Source organism: Homo sapiens, chromosome 5, assembly GCF_000001405.40.
Source record: "Homo sapiens chromosome 5, GRCh38.p14 Primary Assembly".
In the NCBI taxonomy this organism is placed as follows: Eukaryota; Metazoa; Chordata; class Mammalia; order Primates; family Hominidae; genus Homo; species Homo sapiens.
The window spans coordinates 120455412-120476553 of record NC_000005.10 but is presented as its reverse complement, the minus strand read 5'-3'; the positions used below and the strand labels follow the sequence as shown (position 1 = coordinate 120476553).

At 38.6% G+C, this 21142-nt stretch overlaps 1 protein-coding gene across 5 annotated transcripts in view, besides 3 other annotated features; it reads right to left on the bottom strand.

Annotated features, from left to right (window-relative positions):
* PRR16 (proline rich 16) overlaps positions 1–12276 on the bottom strand; it is a 330317-nt gene extending 318041 nt beyond the window's left edge. For 2 of the 5 annotated variants that reach the window (NM_016644.3, NM_001300783.2), the window contains exon 1: positions 11909–12254. Coding sequence is in view for 2 of the 5 variants with exons in the window: in NM_001300783.2 (NP_001287712.1) it covers positions 11909–12067 (159 nt within the window). In the remaining 3 variants the exon portion in view is untranslated. Of the gene's footprint in view, positions 1–10842; positions 10929–11908 lie in introns of those variants that run through there. The other 3 variants (XM_047417289.1, NM_001308087.2, XM_047417292.1) reach the window with 3 other exon arrangements.
* Positions 11379–11880: an enhancer, noted in NCBI's record as "H3K4me1 hESC enhancer chr5:119800369-119800870 (GRCh37/hg19 assembly coordinates)". NCBI's record gives its function as "activates a minimal SCP1, AML or CMV promoter by ChIP-STARR-seq in naive H9 embryonic stem cells {active_cell/tissue: H9 hESC(naive)}" and the evidence as "EXISTENCE:reporter gene assay evidence [ECO:0000049][PMID:30033119]".
* Positions 12286–12335: a silencer, noted in NCBI's record as "silent region_16267". NCBI's record gives its function as "represses an Ori minimal core promoter by ATAC-STARR-seq in GM12878 lymphoblastoid cells {active_cell/tissue: GM12878}" and the evidence as "EXISTENCE:reporter gene assay evidence [ECO:0000049][PMID:35858748]".
* Positions 18125–18694: an enhancer, noted in NCBI's record as "active region_22992". NCBI's record gives its function as "activates an Ori minimal core promoter by ATAC-STARR-seq in GM12878 lymphoblastoid cells {active_cell/tissue: GM12878}" and the evidence as "EXISTENCE:reporter gene assay evidence [ECO:0000049][PMID:35858748]".

The following is a 21142-nucleotide window of genomic DNA, read 5'->3' as shown; positions in this document are numbered from 1 at the left end:
GTTCAACTTCCTGATCAGATAATAACAGTGAGACTTTCAAAATGTTTTCTTGAAGGTTACATAGTTAGTAATCAATAGAGAAAGATTACTAGATCTTAAAGTAATGCACAACCAGGGAATAACTGTGAAGTGACATAAGCAAATCCAAGATAGTGGGGTAATGATTATAAACATAAGGAGCACAGATATCAAGTTGGGTAAAATATTGTGATAATATCAAGATTGCCTGGGATGGTCTCTGTGTTACTCACTGAAGGAAAGACAGAGACAAGGCCAAATTGGAAAGACGGGACCACTGGATGTCAGGCTGGAAGGCTGGGTTTGATCATTTGACATTTTAAGTAACAGGAGATAGTGGGTGATCTTTTAAGCAGGGGACTGGCCCAAAGAAAGCAGTACATTAGATTAATCTGGCAGTGTTTAGAGAATGAACTGGCAGAGGAGAACAAAAGGCAGATAAATTAGCTCTAGGGCTATTAAAACACCATCTATGAAATTAACAGCATAGGGATTAGAGAGGTGGCAGCGGGAAAGAAAGCAGCTAATCAAAATCCTCTTCTCAGCAAGAATCAACAAGACTTATCAATGATTTTATGCTCTTGTTGCATCATGTACTTTTCTTTTATAACCCTTAATACTCTTCCATAAATATTATTTATATTATTATTTGAATAATGTCTCTCTACTAAAATATAAGTTCCAAGACGGCAGGGGCTACATATGTTTTGCTGACTATTTTATCTATATGGAATAGCCCAGTACCCTGCATATAGTAGGCAATAAAAGAAATATTTTTCTGGGTTTATTTTTATTTTTTGAGGCAGAGTCTTTTTCTGTCACCCAGGCTTGAATGCAGTAGCATGGTTACAGTTCAGTGGAACCTTGAACTCCTGGGCTCAAGCGATCCTCCCAGCTCAGGCTCCAGAGTGGCTGGGACTATAGGCACATACCACAGCACCCAGCTTATTTTTCATTTCTTATAGAAACAGGGTCTTGCTCTGTTGCCCAAGCTGGTCTTGAACTCCTGGCCTCAAGCAATCCTCCTGCCTCTGCCTCTCAAAGTGTCAAAAAAAATTTAGTAAATAAGATATGGATTTCAAAGAAGAGGATAAGGAAGCAAAAGGCAGAAAAACAGAAGAAAAAAAGTAAGACAGAAAGTAGAGGAGAAAGGATAAAAACAAGAAAGGAAAAAGAGACGTGATTTAAAGAAGGTAGAGGATGAAAAAGAGTAAAAAGTAACTATGTTGAAGTTAGAAGACTGAAAAATAGCAGAGCAACTGTGTGGCTGCCAGGAATTGGGAAGCAGGTCATGGACTTCAGCTTAAAGGGGGAAATATCAGGAGTTCAACTCCAACACTTGCTCTTAATTAACCTCTCTGTCTGTGCTTCTTCATCTATAGAATAATTATAGGTACCTCAAAGGGTGGCTATGAGGATTAAGTGAGTTAACTCACAATAGTCCCTGGCACATAGTGAGAAGTTAACAGTTGTCAGTCATCTGTATCATCATCATCGTCATCATCATCATCTATAATTTGTCCCCCACTAGACAGCAGTGAAACCATTCTAAATTCTCTTCTGTCTACAGAAATGAAAATGGCAGAAGCAGCATAAGACTAATTGATGGATGAGACAAAAGTCCTTCCACTAGTCAAGGTTGCCTCTGATCTCACTCACAAACTAACTGGCAAGAAGACAAGCAGCTCAGCCTCAACTGCTCCCTTCATTCTTTCTGAGTTTCTCCTTTTTTTCTCCCAAATCCTAAAACACACATATTTACCCAAATCCCTTAAAAAATACCAATTTAACTTTTATTTCATTGTGAAAACAAAATGGAAAGCAAAAAAATGGAAGTGGTGGATGGAAATTGGAAGGCATATTTTTAAAGTAGGTTGAATTAAGGGAAAAAGAATGAGGTAAATGTAAAGAAAAATACAGATAATGGGTTTTTTTTTTAAAAAAAAGATAGCAAATACAAGACACAAAAGAGACATGAAGTCTGAATGTTTGATGGCTAAGCATAAAGAAAGAAAAAGGTAGGTAGCAAAAACAATATTAAGTAATATGGAATAAGATGGAAGAGCAAGAGCAGTAGTTCTCAAAGTAGTCCTTTGGGTTCCTAGTTCTACTATTGCAAAGTAGGAAGAGGACATGTGGCATCATCTAGAAACATTTTCCATTGTCACATTAACATTTTGGTTGCTACTGGCATCTAGTTGTAGATGCTGCCAACCATCCTACAATGCACAGGACAATCCCCCCAACAAAGAATTATCCACTCAATATGTCAATAGTGCAGAGTTTGAGAAACCCTGAGCCAGTGATTAAAGGTAAAAAGATGAAAGTATAGCAGATTTAGTCACCTCCCTGCTCAGAAGTCCCATTTTACTCTAAGGAAGAATCAAAATCCTTAGACATGTCCCCCATATCTATCTGACCTTATCACTGCTACTCTTGCCCTGCTCGTCCACTCCTGCCACCCTGGGCCCTTGTTCTGCTGCAAATGCATGGGAAACTTGTCCACTATAAGGCCCTTGGGCTGCTATTCCCTACTTGGGAAAATGCTCCCCTAGATTTCCTTACTGCTTGCTCCTTCACCTTCAAGCATTTTCCCCAATGCCACCATGCCACTTTCTCAGTGAGGCTTATTCTGAACAATCCTATTTAAAATTGCACTTCCTCCTCATCACTATTCATCCCATTATAATCTTCTATTACTTCATAAGATAAATCACCTTCTAATATTTGATGTAAACTAGTGTTTATTTTACTGAGCTATCTTCTCCCTACCCTCCCCATCCACTATGTAAACTCCATGAAGGAATTTTGTCTGTTTTGTTCCCCACTATATCCCTAGAAACTAGAACAGTGCCTGGTGTACAGTAGGTGTTAAACACTACTTGTTGAATAAATGAATAAAGGGGCTCAGACAAATTCAAATAATAACACTAATGACAGACACACATACAATGCTTGCTTTATGCATAGGAACCATTCTAAACGTTCTACAAAGAACTCATTTAATCTTCATAACCAACCTATACTGCACATAACACTGTCACTATCGCCACACTATGGAGAAAATGAAAACAGAGAGAAATTAAATAATGTGCTCAATATTGCACAGCAGAGCAATTTGAAAAAAAGCAGACTGGCTTCAGAGTTTGTGCTCTCACCCTTCTATACTATGCCACCTTACTGAGCAACACAGACTAAAAATTCTCCTATTCTTTAAAACAAAAGATAACCCCAAATATTTATCAAAAACATTGAGCTATGCAATAAAGAGGCAATCAAATTTATACTTCATTCTATATATAATTGGATAAACATAAATATACCTCTGATATTTGGGCTTTAAAATTACAAAGTTATGTCAATTCATAATAGCCTACAGTGTTATCACTGTCATCAAAAGTAAACAGAAAATAGTTACTTCAAGGGCAGATCACTAAGCTTATTCATATATGCATCTTTTACTTTCTTCAGCACAGTGACTTACACATATCAAGAATTCAATATGTCTTTCATAATTCATGTTAATGTGACATAAGAAAAAAATAAAACAAATAAAAATGCTGATCTGCAATCAGTTTTAAGAAGAGAATATGCTTAATTTACAATGAGTTCTGAAAACTTTTTGTCCATCTATTTACTGATATACTATGGCAAACATCATAAGAAACGACAAAATGAAAGAGTTAACTTTCAGACACACAAGCATTCTACAGCTTTTGCAAAGTCGTGAATTATAAATATACCACCTATTTTCACACTGACATCACATCCTAAGAGAAAGAAACTGTTGATATGCCACTCATTTTTTTCCCCTACATAAAAAACATCAAACCACAGCCATCAGTATTTCTTTTTTTTCTTTTTGTAGGGCCAGGACTTTTAATTCTGAAAATTATGGAGCCAAACCTCAAACAATTAGCTAAAATTTCTAAAAAATAAAATGGCAATCAACCACTTGTTTTGTCTCTTTACCTGAGTCATTCCCACCCACCCAAGATTCCCTGAACATGTGCAGGAACCACGTTTGTGTGAGCTTTTGTTCCAGAAGAAATAATCCCAACTTTTTTTCCTTTTTTCAAAGGGGTTTGTGATATGGGGGGAGGGAGACTATTAAGAACCACTGATGCTAGAAGGCAATTGATTTGACTGATATTGTTTAACCCAGTATTTTTCTCTCATATAAACACACAGTTTGAAATCTTGAGATAAGGTGATATTATGAAAGGGGAAAATGCACACCAATGTATCTGTTAACATTTGTGTGGTACTACAAAAAGAACCTGTCAGAAATCATCAAATTTTCTTTTTCCAGACAAGGATAACATATGTTATCTGTAGTTGAAAATCTATTTATAGTGTCCCAAACATCATGATAACTGTGTCATTGAGCATAAGTATGTAATTTGCCTAACTTCAATTATTCTACAAGTAAACATTTATCTCAAACACCAATCTGAAGCAGCATTTGCAAAGTAGAAAGAGAGAAAACAAAGATGATGAATATAAATTCAGTCCTAACAGTGTTAATATTTCTTGCCTGAAAGTGAGGTCTGGGAGTTTAAATTCTTTGGAATCCTCATGTCTTTCCATTCTAAATAAATAAATAGCTTATCCCATATAAGCAAGACAACATTTGTCCTGAGTTGACAGACTACCTTGTGAGTCTACTTTGATTTGGATATTAGATATGTCTTTATTTTCTCATTTCAGTTAATGCTACTTTCTGGTTCTTGTTTAAAGATGAATTTCTGCTGACTTTGGGTTCCCAGTTCCTGTGGGAAATTTAATTCAGAGTAATTATCCTAATGAACTAACTTTTAATACAATAAAAACATTTCTATTCATAACATACTGGAAAAGAAAACAAACAATTTTAGAATAAGGCCATTTCTTATAACCCTTATATGTGGGAGAGAGGAGGTGGTTTATAATCGATAGCACTAAAGTTAATACAAGAAATCGAATTATAATATATACATATGACATCATTAGCCAGTTCAATAATGTTGTTCCTAGTAAAGAATTCAACAAGATTCTCTAATTCATCAGTCATAGCAGAAAGCAAGAGAACTGTCAAACCTCAAACATCTCAGAAAACTTAAGGATAGTGCCTCTCTTCTAAGGTAATTTGATAGCAACAAAAGAGAATAATATATTCCAAATTATTTGTATTCTTTGAAACAATTATATACAATGCTAAGTATCAACGAGCTTCCATATTAGTTGTTCCTTTATTTTCTCAGCCAGAATATTAAAAATCTATGTAATATTCTTATCAACATTTTTGTTGAATAAGTTAAAGGTAATTAATCACAGCACATCTTTATTTGCAAATTTTAAATTGCAAGGTCTAATTTATTCACTATTAATTTTGTCTCAATACTGTTTTCTGCAACCTACAAAAATAATGACTGTTACCATGAAGATAATAAACTACACAGCAAGCCTTAATGAAATAATGAAATGGTTTATTAGCTTCACTCCCAATTTAAGAAACAGTGTCCATACATACGCTGCTGCTGCAAGCAAAAATTTGTGAAAACTCCCTGGAAGACAGTTTGGCAATATGAATTGAGAATTTTAAAGCTTTTAGATCCTTGACTTCTAAGAAAATGTTAAAAAAAAAATAGGAAACGTGAAAGAGCTTGGCGGTTAATGCTGTTCTTTGACACCAAGCTACCTGGCAATGAAGCTTCACTTCTCCACTTACAAGACAAGTGAGTTGGGCAAATGACTTACTATCTCGGACCTCAGATTTCTTATGTGTAAAATGGGCAATATCAGTAACTTCCTCATCTACCTGTTTTGAGAATTAGATAATTTAATATAAATAAATGCGCTGAGAAGAGTACCTGGCAGAGAGTAAGACCTCTGTTAGATATTCATATTGCCAAAACTGCTCTTTCTAGTGACGTTTAATAACCATGAAAAGCTGGAAATAAATAGAATACCCAATATTAAGGGAAGTATGAAGTAACTTATAGCAAATCTGTGTAATAGTTACGATCTATATCATTCAAGAAAGTAGAAAATGTCATTGCTTATAATTTATAACTTTGTATAACTTCATCTATGTTAAAATATGCATACAAAAAGACTAAAAGAAAATATGACAAAATGTTTAGTATACTTATTTTTATGTGGTACTAAAGATAATTTTTGTTTTCTCCTTTATATTTCTTTAGATTTTTGCAAACTTTCTATAATATTCATGTGCTGCTCCTAACATCAGAAAAAATAAATTTGATTTTTTTAATAGTGCCCTTTGTTGTTTGTTAACTTTGTATTTGCAGCTTGATGTCAGTCATGTATATTTCAATCAGAGTTGAATCAGCGACCTACTGGAATTTTATTACTCTAAATCTCTAAAATTGCCCCTGAAATTTTTCAAGAACTATCTCTACAGAAGAAAAGTTCTATAGTTTGGGAAAATATGTTTTGCTCAAACTTGCATTTCTATCTTTTTTCCTACATTTAGATTTAAGTACCTGAGATCCTCAGAGAAGCAAGGATGAAAATAACATAATCCAGGTAATAATGAAACCTATTACACTGGCTTTATTATCTATTACTTCACTGTTGCCTGAAACACACTATCTATTACTTTAAGGCTGCTTGAATTTCTTATCAGCTAATTCTCTAAGTGTTGAATGTTTTAATTCATTGGAAATAGACAGTGATGGATGATTATTGGCTACCTCTATGTTCTCAAAATTATTTTTGGTAACTGCTAGGCCATCATGCCTAAGTAAAGAAAAATTTCAGAGCATTTTAGCATTTGGTAAATATACCACAGTTTGGGGAGGTAGACTGTGGTATAAAGTAGTAAAAGTATGACTATTGCTACAATTAAAAGAACTACTAAATTCTATTTATACACAACTTTAGAACTTGGAAAATACTTCAAGCCAGACATGGTGGCTCATACCTATAATTCTACCACTTTGGGAGGCCTAAGCAGGAGGATGACTTGAAGACAGGTGTTCAAGATCAGCCTGGGGAATATGGCAAGACACCATCTCTATCAAAAAAAAAAAAATTAAAAATTAGCCAGGCATGGCGGCGCATGCCTCTAGTCCCAGCTACTCAGAAGGCTGAGGTGGTAAGACTCCTTCAACCTAAGAGATGGAGGCTGCAGTGAGCCAAGATCTCTAACACTGCCCTACAACCTAAGTGACAGGGCAAGATACTGTCTCAAACAAAAAGAAAATAGTTCCGAGATTATTCTCTATAATTTTTTCTTGTAACGAATTTTTTATGCATGGGCTCATTAACCAAAAAATACTCGGTAGGAATTTCCAGACAATAAACTATAGAACATCAAGTGGTTAAGACATTAAAAGAGGGAACATTTAGAAGTGAAAATATTTTTCAGATAATTGTTAATTCTGTTTTCATCAGTTCAAATCAGACTGTTTCCTATGGGGTTCAAATTGTTCAAAATTCAACTTAAATTTATTTCAGTTTATGCCATTGTAAGACAAATTATGGGTGCTTTCCAGTCCATGGCAACAATGCTGACATACTTCTCACCAATGGAGATCCAGTCACTGAGTGATTCTAAGGCAACAACAAAACAACTTTATTTTAGTTTCTCTGTTAGAGTCATGTCTATTCAGAAAGCCTCTCAAGAAATTATTTACATATGTTTTTCAACTCATATAGTAGCCTTGTTACTTGAAATCATAAAAATAAACACTACAAGAAAAGCTCAAGGTTATAACAAGTCTAAACTAAAAGAGAATCCAGCTAAAGCTGCAATTAGTTTTGTTTCCAGATAAAAGGCTGATTATTACAGATTCCAGTGTCACTCTGACCAATAAGATATGTGATCCCATATTAATACCAGCATTTAATGCAAAATAGTTTACCAGTGAGATCTTCATAAAAGAACAGGCATATTGCTACTCAAAGGCATTAGATTATTTGAGAACTATTTTAAAAAGCAATTGCTTTGTTTCTACATTTCTTAGTGAAAAAGTATCACTCACACCTACTCTACCAGTTATGGTTAATTTTATCACTAAAACTCTAGAGTTTCACCACTATTTTCTTCTTTTTTTTCAATGTGTAGAAAAATGCAACATGGATTACTCTTGTAGTCCAAACCTATTTCCTTTTACCTGTGACTACCTCTTAAAACCCTATTTACATTAAGAAAAAGAAGAATTCAAAATCTTCCTTTTTAACTCTCCATTTCTCCAAAAGACTTAGCTTTCATGGAAATCTTCAGTATTTAGTTACAACATTTGAATATGTAATCTCCTGTATATGGTATTGATCCATTTATGTTAACCATGACAATCTAAGTCAACTGTAAATTTCTTAAAATTCATATATTTTCATCTTTTTAAGCTTATTTCTTCATCAAAGACTTGCCATACTACTAAGTATGCAGCACACATCATTTTATAAATCAACATATACTCACTCTCATTCTCAATTCTCGATTTCCCCAAGCCTGCAGTGAGAGTGGCCACTAAAGGCCACAATGTCTTTTTATACTGCTGATGTTGGAAGACAGGATAAATATATCCCTAACTAACCTTTGGAGCTCACTGAGACCAGAAACTATGCCTTATTCATCTTGGTAGCAATTTAAAAGGTGTTATAGTACTTGGAACATGGTAGGTGCTCAATAAGTATACTGAATTATATTTAAGGCTTTTCCAATATATTAATAGCATAGAAAACAAAAGGACCCATATTATTTCTGAAAAGTCAAATTATTTGAGATTTTACTAAATTCTGAGAGTAGAATAAGGCTGCTCTTTGACTTTCTAGAAAGCCTGTTCCTCTGCTTCTAATATATAATCCAATTATAACTGATTAAGTAATTATAACTAAATAATCATAAAACAGATACCCAAAATAACAACTCTTCTTGCTGAGCAGACTAGAGTTTTGTCACTACTTATTAAAGTGTTTCAAGCAATTACTATTATGTTTGATTCTATCCTACTACCTGAGTTTTCAGATGACTTAAGCCCAGAAAACTTCTATGAAGAAAAGCAATTTCAGAGTAACCTCAAACCAAAGTTTAATATTGTTGGTGCAGAAATTACACAAAAACAAAGAACAGAATTAAAGAAGATTGCATTTTAACTAGATATTTTTTAAAAGCAGAAAGAAAAAATAAATACTATATGATGACTGCCATAGTGATATAGTCATAACTACTTTTTTATTTTTAATTTCTGTTGCAAGTTAAGAAGAGCTCGCCGATAATTTATATTAAAATATATTATGGTCTAAAAGCATAGCATTGCCAATAAAGGAATTAGAATTCTAAATATAGCAGTTTATATTTAACACGTACTAATTTTAAGCTGCCAGAATACTGAATATGATGAATAGCAACATTCATGTACAGCAACCAACAAGCTTTGTAATGTACAAAGTTTTGTTATTTCTTTATCCAAAACTATACCAAAGACATGTTCACTCACATATGCAGGATTATCCTAAAAAGATACATGCTGGACAACTGCAAGATGTCATAGGTTAAACATACCCTATAAATACTTTGTTCTCAAAATATTTTCATTCATATTCTATGAATAGCCGATGTTTTGGGATTTGGCCATTGTAGGTACATTTTCTTGTGCAAATCTAGGATGATGATACCCACACAAAAGTAATTAACAATCACATCACATTATTTATGTCATAAATTTCAGTTTCATGGTGAGATTTTTACTCAAACAGATCCTTAAGACAAACAAATCTTCCAAAATGTTGAGTCAAAATTGTATCTCTAGATCTGTCAGATAGTTTCATCTACTGGGTTGTACATTATCTCTGCTTTTTATTCCTCTTATAAACAACCTTTTTTTTAACCTTAAAAAATCTTCAGTAATGAAGACACAGAAAGTGGTATCAACAGATTTCCTGACTTACATTTTTGTGATTCTAACCAATAACCACAGGGAGGTTGAAGATTTCACTACTTAATCTCTAAATGTCCATAAATAATGATGCAAAGCAAAACCAGGACCATGTGCAGTTTCTTGTCATTTATTCTGTGCAAAAAAAGTGAGTGGACTGACATTAAAACATAAGGAAGTATGGCTCACAGATGCAGAATTCTGTTTAACTACCTTTCTTTTAGTCTCAGCCTCATGAAAACAGTAAATACGTTTCTGTGCCGCTGTAGGTTTTCCACATCGCCCATAGAAACCTCACCAACTATTAAGCACAATTCTGCCGAAAGGAACATGCCCAATTTCATTTTTTAAAACGCCATGTTTCAGATGAAAACACAGTCTACCAAAGATGTCATATAAAAGAATAACAAAGAAAGGGACAGCATTTTTAGAATTGAATTTCAATGCATAACCCCACCATCTGTCAACCAGTTGTGAAGCAATAATCCTACAGAAACCCTGAAAACACGAACAAGTTTTATCCCTGAATCTATGTATACTAACAGCCACTCTCAGGACCTCAGTACTAATTATGTTCTGTCTGTGGAGTAACCTACAGGAACGACATTTACCACTGGCAAACTTAACCCTGGTGACGAATGGCCCATTTTAACAGACTTGCATTAGGTAACAAATGCAGAGTTCAGTTCATAGAGGTAACGGGGGAAGGGGAGGAAGACGAGGGGGCTCTTGAAATTTGGTTTGGAAATTGAATACAGGAGGTTAATCTCTAGAGGCCAGTCATCCAAACAACCCTCAGTCTCCTCCCCGTTGGCTTCAGAAACAGGATTACAATTTTGGACCTAGACTACGCCCCACCCCTTTTCCCGCTGCAGCCACCGCCACCTTCGAAGTTCTAGTCTTAGCTCTCACGCAGCGGAGCTGCGGACTCCCTCACCGAGAACCGCACCAGGACCCCATTCAGTAGTGAGCGGCGCGCTGGGACTCTGCTACCAGCTCCGCGACGCCGCCGGCAGCCAGCCTGGCTCGGGAGACCCCACCCCTCCCAGCCCGGCCCCCGCCCCCGCCCGGAGCCGCCGCCTGAGTTACGCAGCCTCAGCCCTGACACCTTCTCTGCTTCTTTCCATCTGGATCACCTGGGGCTAGGGGCGGGCGGGAGTAGGGCTGAACCGAAGTGGGATAGGAAAAGCGGGGAAGAACCGAAGCAGTCCCAGCTGCAGAGAGCCAGGACGCCAATGGCAAGACCCCGGCCACACATACACTCTCCTGCGCGTCCTGCTTCTCGGGTTCAATGCCAAGTGGCGACAGGGTGGAAGGAAGGAAGCAGAGGTAGGGTGGCGGGAAGGCCCAGAGTTACTGGTAACGACGTTCGGAGGAGAGCAGGGGATGCTTCAGAAACTGAGAAAGTGAGAAAGTCCCAGACCCCCTCCTTAGCCCCAAGGCTGCCAGCAGCCCGGGTCGCCTTCCCTACAGCGAGGCTCGAGAGACAGGGAGGGTAGTCTGAGCCAAGCTTCCTCCAGGCTGCCCTCCCTGATCTGGCCCAGGGCCCAGAACCCGGCCCCTCTTCAGCCCTGACTTGGGGAGGCTGACAGATAGGCAGCGGACTTGCCAAAGGACTCTGGGGAAGCAATAGGGCAGGAGAGGAGCATCTTGCACGCTCCAGCCGGGCTGCTCACGACTTCCTCTGCCGACACACCCCCAGCTAACCCTCTCCCCCGTCGTCACACACACAGATTCAGAGACACGCGTGCGTTCATCCCTCCCACCAGCCCAGGTCCATCGATTAAAACACTAGTTGATTTCTTCCTGATTAAAAAAAAAAATTAAAAAGTGCAACAACAACTCCTCTCAGGACTCCAGGAGCAAAGAAAGTCCGTCTGCAGGCGCCTTTTCTGTAGTTTCCCAGGAGTTTGGAAATCTGGCTGTCCCTGCTGAAAATCGGAAAGGGGACCCCGGAGGGGTCGAAGGGTGCCGAACTCCCTCCCCACCCCTGCGCCTCTCACCTCCTTAAGTTCCTTGGCCACGTCCTTCAGGTCGCCCAGGACTAATTCCAAATCCTCCACGATGATCTTGATCTGTTCCTTCACCTTGGTTTTGGAGGCTGCCGGCGGTCCCTCGGCTGGACAGGACGAGGAGGGGTTCCCCTTGGACTTGGCTGACATTCTTTGGGGGCAAGCGAGGCAGGTCAGGACAGGCGGGCGAGCGGAGGCTGCTGCGTGCCCCCGTCCCTGGCGCTGCTACGGCCGCTGCCGCCCCGGTCCCCCCACATCTTGGGCGCTCCCTGGGCAGCGGCGAGTGGCTGCGCTCCGCGCTCGGCCGGGCGGCCGCACAGTGGTGCTGCCATCAACTCCCGAGACGCGGCGCTCGGCTCGGGGCTGCAGACGGGCGAGCAGCGCGCCTGCGCCTCCTCCCGCCGCCGCCCGGCGCTCTCGCGCACACGCGCTCGCTCCCCGCCCGCGGAGAGGGGCGCCGTGCTGCCGCGCCAGGGTTGACGCTTGCAGTCCCCTCGACGTTGCCCTTCGAGATATCTCCCAGATGCCACCTTGGCATCAAGGTGGGGGAGACAAGTCCGTGTCCTGCCCGCCCCCTCCTCTTGGTTCTGAAATGTCCCCATCATCTCAGCCTGCTTGCTGTATGTCATCTCACAACTAGCCTGGATTCTTTCTGCTTCACTTGCTAGCAGGGACCTGGATCAATTCAGAAAGAACCACAGTGGGATCAGGAGTTGGAGACAGTCTGTAAAGTGGCCCTACAGATTTATCCAAACCCAAATGATGTCCAGAGGCCTTTAATCAATCTCTTGGTGACCTGCGAGTTAAGCAGACTTCTTAACTTCTGCAAGAAAAAAGGGGGGGGGGGGTGCACATAACAGCTAATGGTCATCTATTGAAACCATGAAATTCAACCAGTGTTCTTGAAAGAGGTACCCTAATCCTGCTAATTCCACAAAGCTAATACCGGATTTATTAATTTGAAGTCCCCACACCCCAAATCCTCTCTGATTGTCTCAGTCATCTTGGCTGTATGTCTTATTTGGCCCAACTCTTTTTTTTTTTTTTAACTGTCCTTCCTCTTTTTGTGACCTATGCTGATTTACATTTTGAGTGGAGTGGGGGAGACATCGTATTTGGACCTCGTGAAGGAGCTGAGTAAGAGATTGCCTCCAACTTCTCTTTCATCATTTTTTAAACCTCCATTTCAACTCTTTTGCTACTAAACAAATAGGAAACAACTTTCTGACTGTTCTGTCAAAAAGACCCAAGAAGGGAAGTTAATAGGAAGCCTTCGGTTCACTCTCAGTAGGTGTCTACAATTCTCATTAGCTAGAATTTTAACTTCCTTAGTTGTAAACCCATGGGCTATTAGCTACTGACCCAGCAGGCTGGCTCTACTTTATTTTCTTCACTGCACACTCCTCCAGATCATTCTTTTAATAGGCTTCCCCTTTTCGTCGTGCCTTAGCAAGGCTCTCTGTTTCTTGCTTCTCACACTCTGGGTAGCTCCACTGTGCTACACATAAAGAAAAGCTTGGCAGCTCTCCTCTTCCCAGTTCTGTAGGCTCTTAATCAATCACTCTCTTAATCCTGGACAATTCATCTTTACAAAACCTTTGGAAGTCATATGTGGAATATAGAGGAAGAAAGAGAACAGAAGAAAAAATTGAAATTTGAAAGTGGTGTCAAAAGAAAACCATTGAAAACTGCATTGAAAAATCAGGGGAAGAAATGAGAAAAGGTGAAAAGCAGATGCTGCTGGAAAGACTTAAGAAGAGATTATAAGAACAAGTCTGCAGCATGCAAACTGGAGAAAAGAAAAAGAGAAGAAATGATTAAAAGTGTGAAATAAGTAATATGCTTGAGTTCTCTGAGGTAGGGAGAATTAGATTTTTAAAACATCCTTTTTCTCCTCAAATTCTTTATTTTATAAAAAATATAACATTAAAATAATTATATCAGGTTTACAGACTCCCCAAAATTGTCAAAACTAGCAAAAGCTAATGGTAGGGGAAAAGAGAAAGTACTATTCTTCTAGATTGGAATTATTTTTGACTCTTAATAGTAGGCAAGTGTGTAAGAAAGCCGCCAAACTCAAAGTTAAGTGACTTTAGACAAGGATATGGGAGAGGAGGAAAGGAAATTGTGATTTCCCTCACAGTGACAAAATAATCCTCCCACAATATAAGAAGATGTCCATGCTACTCTGAATCTCATTCACTAAAGATTAAAAAAAAAAAAACAAAACAGGCTAGGCACAGTGGCTCATGCCTGTAATCCCAGCACTCTGGGAGGCCGAGATGGGTGGATCACAAGGTCAGGAGTTCAAGACCACCCTGGCCAAGATGGCAAAACCCCATCTCTATTAAAAATACAAAAATTAGCTGGGCATGGTGGCAGGAGCCTGTAATCCCAGCTACTCAGGAGGCTGAGGCAGAGAATTGCTTGAACCCGGGAGGTGGAGCTTGCAGTGAGCTGAGATCGTGCCAGTGCACTCCAGTCTGGGTGACAGAGCGAGATTCCGTCACAAAAACAAAACAAAAAAAACTGTTCTCTTCTGATACTCTGATATCCACTGCTGCTACTGAAACAAATAATTCTGACTTAAAATCAAATCATAATTATTGCTTAGAAACACACCACCCACACCCATATCACAGTTCACTCTGAAATAATCACTATCATCTATCTATCTATGTCTTTATACAATATAGAGTTAACTGAATAGGGAAAAGTTAAAATTGGCTTCCAGGCCCAAACTGAGAAAGCTGGTAGGATTGCAGCAGTGGTGTCTGTCCCTATCTTCTAGTCATTAAGGATCACTTAAAGCAAATCTCCATAAAATATGTCTAAAGAAGAAACTTTTATAAAGGGAATTATAAATATTGAGGAGAAGAAGACAGAATAAAAAGGGCCCATGAATATAAATCAAGTGTATTTACTTCCTATTTTTGTATTACCCTATGGAAAAATCTTTCATTCCTTTGGGTAATCCTAGACTCTCTCAGAGATCAGTATATAGGATGTTTTAGACTCCAGTTATAGAGACCAAACAGCAAAAGTGACACCTAATAAAATTTCTGGTAAATCTTTCTGTAAGTTCGTTAATGTACTAGTGCTAGCTGCAAATGTACACAACCAAACCACATTACTTATAAACTTAGACAGGATAATACATTTCTAAATAAAGGAGAGTCTTACTCATTTATAGAAGTGATTGCAAACCCAGGATTTTATTCTCCCTGTCTCTCTATTCATCATTTTCTGAGTTTTGTAACAGGAAGAATTGGATAATTACAGGAGATCATCTAGGTTTTGTTTCTTTAGTTACAAGCCTTTATCAGTATTCTCATGTGTATGCGTGTGTGTGTGTGTGTGTGTGTGTGTGTGTATGTGTAATCCACTGCAGTTGATCCCTAGTAATTAACCCACAGGAAAAAACTCTGTGACACTGACATAATTTTAAATTCACAAAAAGCATAAGAATATTCCCAAAATATTTTGTCTCACAGTTCAGCATAGCTGGGGAGGCCTTAGGAATCTTACAATCATGGGGGAAGGTGAAGGGGAAGCAAGGCACCTTCTTCACAAGGTAGCAGGAAGGAGAAGTGCGGAGTGAAGGGGGAAAAGCCCCTTATAAAACCATTAGATCTCATGAGGACTCACTCACTGTCATGAGAACAGCATGGGGGAAACTGCCCCCATGATTCAATTACCTCCACCTGGTCTCTTCTTTGACGCGTGGGAATTATGGGGATTACAAATCAAGACGAGATTTGGGTGGAGACACTAAGCCTAACCATATCAATGATATAGTTATGAAAAATTAGAAACGTTTTCCATACATATATTTACTATTAAACATATTTTATATGTCCAGGCAGTGGTTGAGAAAGCCTAGTACCCATCAGAACTTCTTTAAAAAAAAGATTGCTATACTCCCTGCCCCAAGGTTTGTAGTTCAGTATGTCTAGGATGAGGTCTAAAATGTGTATTTTAACAAATTTCTAGGATGCTGGTAGGGGACCACACTTTGAAAACCACCAATTTGAGAGATTAAAATAAAAACTTTAAGTTTCTTTTTACCTGGAATAAGCCTTAAAAATAATTTAGTTAAATTTCTGTTTGTTATAAGCTTTAAAGAGCATCTAGATAAATCTTAAATAAGTATAACTCTAAAGAGCATCTACTTAAATGTTAAGGCCTTAGTAGGCTAAATGGCATATCCAATATATCACATCTAGGGAACAATAAATTGAGAGCTAGAACTCCTTGTTCACTCATACATTTTATTAAATTGTCTCTATTGTTCTGGAGAATGTCTCCTTTTAATGTATCAACTGCTTCTGGCATGATGGCTATGTACTGTTGATGTATATAGGTTTTAAAAAATGAGATCTGGGAGTTTAAATGCAAGTACTCAACACAATATCCTGAGTAATTAGAACTGTGTCTATTGCAAAAAGGCTGATCAATAAATACTTAACAAAATGAATGAATGAGTAAACAGTTGTCTCTGTGTGTTTTGAAATTAATTCAACAAATATTTTTAAATGCTTGAGCAAGAATCAGTGCTAAGAGTAGTTGTGCCACTAGGTTTAATTAGACATAATCCCAGCAGGAACCACTAGATAATTCTCTACATGACTCTAATAAATACAAAGTGGGATTACTCCGAGTATCTCTTCCTGCCCTCATTCTTAACTATAGTGAGTTCATTTTATTTGACCTCTCCTATGGTCTGACTATCCCTCCAAAATTAATTTGAAATCCTATCTCCCAAGATAATGGTATTAGAAGATGGGGCCTTTGGGATTTATTAACTCATGAGGACAAAGCCCACATGAAGAGAATTAGTGTCCTCATAAAGGAGGTGCCAGAGAGCTTCCTCCCCATTTCCATCATGTGAGGCTATAGTGAGACCTGTCTCTAAAAGGAGGCAGAACCTCACCAGACACGAAATCTGTTAGTGCTTTGACCTTGGGATTCACAGGCCCCAGAATTGTGAGATATGAATTTGTATTGTTTATAAGCCATCTAGTCTGTGGTACTTTATTATAGCAGCCCAAATGGACTAAGAGAACATCCAATGTATGTTAATTGGAAGACTTTTTAACCATGTGACAAAATCTGAACTTTTGCACAACTCAACAGAAAAAATCGTCTCATAGTTGAACCATAGAAAAGTGAGGATAAAAATATCCTCAGGTAGAATTGGAGGCAGAAATTCTAGAATCATTGGGACTATTTCTTTCTGACTCTATTTCCCACTCCTCTTTTGTGGATTGGCCTCTTGCCTGTATACCATTTTCTCCACAAAATTGAACCTTGATCACTAGTAAGTTCAGGCTCACATTTTCACAACTTTACAACTAGAAAAGGATGGTCATCACAGCAAGCTCCCAGGAGAAAATTTTTATAGATCTGGCTTAGATCATGGACACACACTACAGCCAATCACTGTGATTTGGATGGGGTTGTAGAGTACAAAGCTACTATTACATTTGTGCCATTCTTATAGAAAAGTCATGGGTGTGTATATTTATTACTATGATTTTCCAGCAGATGTCCGTGAAATGAGTTATTCTCTCAAAATATGTATATTATGATAATTTTCTGATAGTTGGAAATTATGTATTTTTAGAAAGTGATTCTATTTTCAAAATTAATGCAAAGAAAGACAACATATGAATTAGCAGTCATCCTTCATGGGTCAGTAACCGGTAGTGAAGAAGTATAATGATTCACTCAAATTGGATAAAATTGCCTACCCTGCGGCCTATTTCTTCCCCCTCAGAAGGTGACATACCTCTGAAAAAATAAAAACTATATATATATATATATATATATATATATCTCCACCATATAGTATTTATATTGGATTATTGTGGGCAGCAAGCCACCCAGGTGCCAAGGTAAGAGACCGAGGGCACAAGCTGTTCCAGTATCATAAAGAAAATATATAGAATAAGAATAGTTATACTAGAAATAGAATATAGATATGATTACATATGAATATTATTAATCATTAATTTGTAGCATTACTCTTTATTCCAATATTATAATAACCTCTGTTCTACAATTATAACCTAGGAAAAACCAGACCATACAGAGATAGGAGCTGAAGGGACACGGTGAGAAGTGACCAGAAGGCAAGAGTATGAGCCCTCTGTCACGCCCAGACAGGGCCACTAGAGGGCTCCTTGGTCTAGCGGTAACGCCAGTGCCTGGGAAGGTGCCAGTTGCCTAGAGGACCTTGGTCCAGCGGTAGCGCCAGTGCCTGGGAAGGCACCCCTTATTTAGCAGACGGGGGAAGGGAGTCTCCCTTTCCCCGGGGGAGTTAGATAAGACTCTGCTCCACCACCTCTTGTGGAAGGCCTGACATCAGTCAAGCCTGCCTGCAGCCATCTGGAGGCCTAAATGTCTCCCTGTGATGCTGTGCTTCAGCGGTCACACTCCTGTTTCACTTTCACGTTCCGCTCTATACACCTGGCTCCGCCTTCTAGATAGCAGTGGCAGAATTAGTGAAAGTGTTAAAGTCTTTGATCTTTCTGAGAAGAGTGTAGAAGAAATAATGACGTAAGCTGTCCTCTCCCCACCTCAGCTACCTAAAAGGGAAAGGCCCCCTGTCCGGTGGACACGTGACTCACGTGACCTTATCAATCGTTGGAGATGACTCACACTGCTTACCCTGCCCCTTTTGCCTTGTATACATAAATAGCAGTGCGGTCAGCCATTCGGGGCCACTACTGGTCTCCGCGCCTTGGTGGTAGTGGTCCCCTAGACCCAGCTGTCTTTTCTTCTATCTCTTTGTCTTGTGTCTTTATTTCTACGATCTCTTGTCTCCGCACATGAAGAGAAAAACCCACAGGCCCTGTAGGGCTAGACCCTACGGATTATATACTTTACTTTTATCTCACAGATGGACATTTTTTAGTTGTTTTTGCTTCCCCAAATTAGCATCTATCAAGTCCTAGATTTGGCATTCAGTTTACCCATGCCAAGAGCCACCAACCCCCTCATCCTTTCCAATCTCAGGCTCAGGTCCCATCTATAAATATCTCACCTCAAACATCCCAGTCCTCTGTTGAACTGCCTACCAAAAGAGCAAGCAATGCTCAAACGATTACTCCATTTCACTCAAGTTTTTAGGAATTACCACTTGTCCAGAAACCCTGAGGCCAGTGCCTAACAGGGTAGTCCCAAACTCATTCTACCTCACAGCTTCAAATTGCTGGATTAAGTGGTAAGAGAACCTAGGACTTTACATATTCCAGGACACTCACAGCCGTGGCCAGGGAGTTGTTCCTAAAATTTGGCCAATTGCCACTCTACACAGCTTAACAGCCCCTTTCCTTGGAAGTGGATTCAGCTAGAACAGAGGACACCTTAATCACTTAGCAGAACTCAATACACGCATGCATCAAGATAATTGAAAGCCCTATACAATCATTCAGATACCCAGATAATTTTGAAGGTACTTGGAGATTTCTGTCCTTATTAAGTTTCAAGGTCCTTTCCCCGCTCCAAGGAAATGAGTAACTGTGATCAAGGATAAAATCACAGAGGACAAATAAGTTGTCAAAAGCTATACCCCATGACCTTCAGATATAAAACCATACTCCATTAGGTGTTAGGTGGTCACCAATACTGTGTGTGACCACATAGAGTATGCAGTTTTAGTTCTTCATCCAGGAACTGGAATGGAATGACTGACATAGATCTGCAGCCTGGCAAGTACGTAAGGGCATTCTGTGTAAGGCTAAAGTGTAAGGCCTTAGACAGCATGCCAATCTGAACTGGTGGACCTTGATAAAATCATTTCGATCTACAATGATGCCACTAATCTATTTAATTGGCATGCTGCTTCCACTATCTACCCCCTCCTTACCACAAGTCGGTGAGCTATGATTTATGCCTCAAGCCTGTCTTCAACTGTATAAAATGATATTGTTATCGATTTGATGTTTGTGTCTCCTCACCAAAATTCCTATGTTGAAGCCCTAACCTCCGATGTGAGAATATTTGGAGATAAGGCCACTGGGAAGTAATGAAGGTTGTATGAAGTGGTGAGGGTGGGGCCTTTAATCTAGGACTAGTAACCTTATAAGAAGAATAAGACCTCTTCCTTTTTTCAACAGTAAAGCAGCAGGTTATAACGGAAACGCGATGGATTGGACATTTTACATTTGAGACTAATGTTCTGCCAACAGCTTTGTAATTTTAGACACTAAAACTCCAATAGCATTTGCTTCTTTATCTGCACACGTGGATATAATACTTATTTATCAAAAATGGGTGGAGAATCAGAAGAGATAATTATGTGAGAATGTTTTATTATCTGTGAATTACTGAACAAACGTTAGCCATGGTTATTCTTTTCGGTGTTTACTTTGATTGATCTTCTGTGTGCATCAAGGAACTTGCTAACTTCACTGTTTAGGATTTGGCTGCTTTCCAGAATTACTTGATTAAGCAAATCCCTCTATAACAGCATTTTTCAAAGTATGTTCCAGCAGTTTCAACTGACATAAAATTTTGGAAACTCTGCCTTCTCTATACCCCACTTTTTGTAATGATGAGGTTAAATATCAGGATATTAAAGTTTGAAAAATCTTACCAGTTTAAATTTAGTCTCCAAATTTATTTTATTTGACAATGGAATCTCCCTTTTTTTGTCTCTCCCTCTCACCCTCCATCCTTCCACTCTTCCTTCCTTTAACCTAACACTTATAAATAGCCTGTTAAAAGAATTTCCATGAAATACATTTTGGTCAATATGGTAATAAAAGTTTATATTAATTACTTTCATCATATTTTGCCTTCACAAATGATTGATTCCGTAAGCCTTGATTATTCTGTATAGAAAGGCTTTGTTGGGAATCGTGTGTGTGTGTGTGTGTGTGTGTGTGTGTGTGTGTGTGTGTGTGTCAATAGTATTTTTATGTCCATGTACATTTTCATATAACAATTTATTTCTGCTATTTTTATTTATGTTGTATTTGTACAGAACTTTACTATTTCTGTAGCATTTTCCAATGTCATAATACAATCTCCCTTGATTCTCAGTATAATCCAATAAACTAGAGCAGGGAACTGCTATTATCCTCAATTTTCGATAAGGTTTCCAAAGCTAAAAGATTTAGTTGGCATTGTAGGACAGAATTAAGAGCAGAACTCAGGTGTCTTTATTCTTACTCATTGAGATTTCTCCTACAACACATGGCTTCTTAGACTCATTGC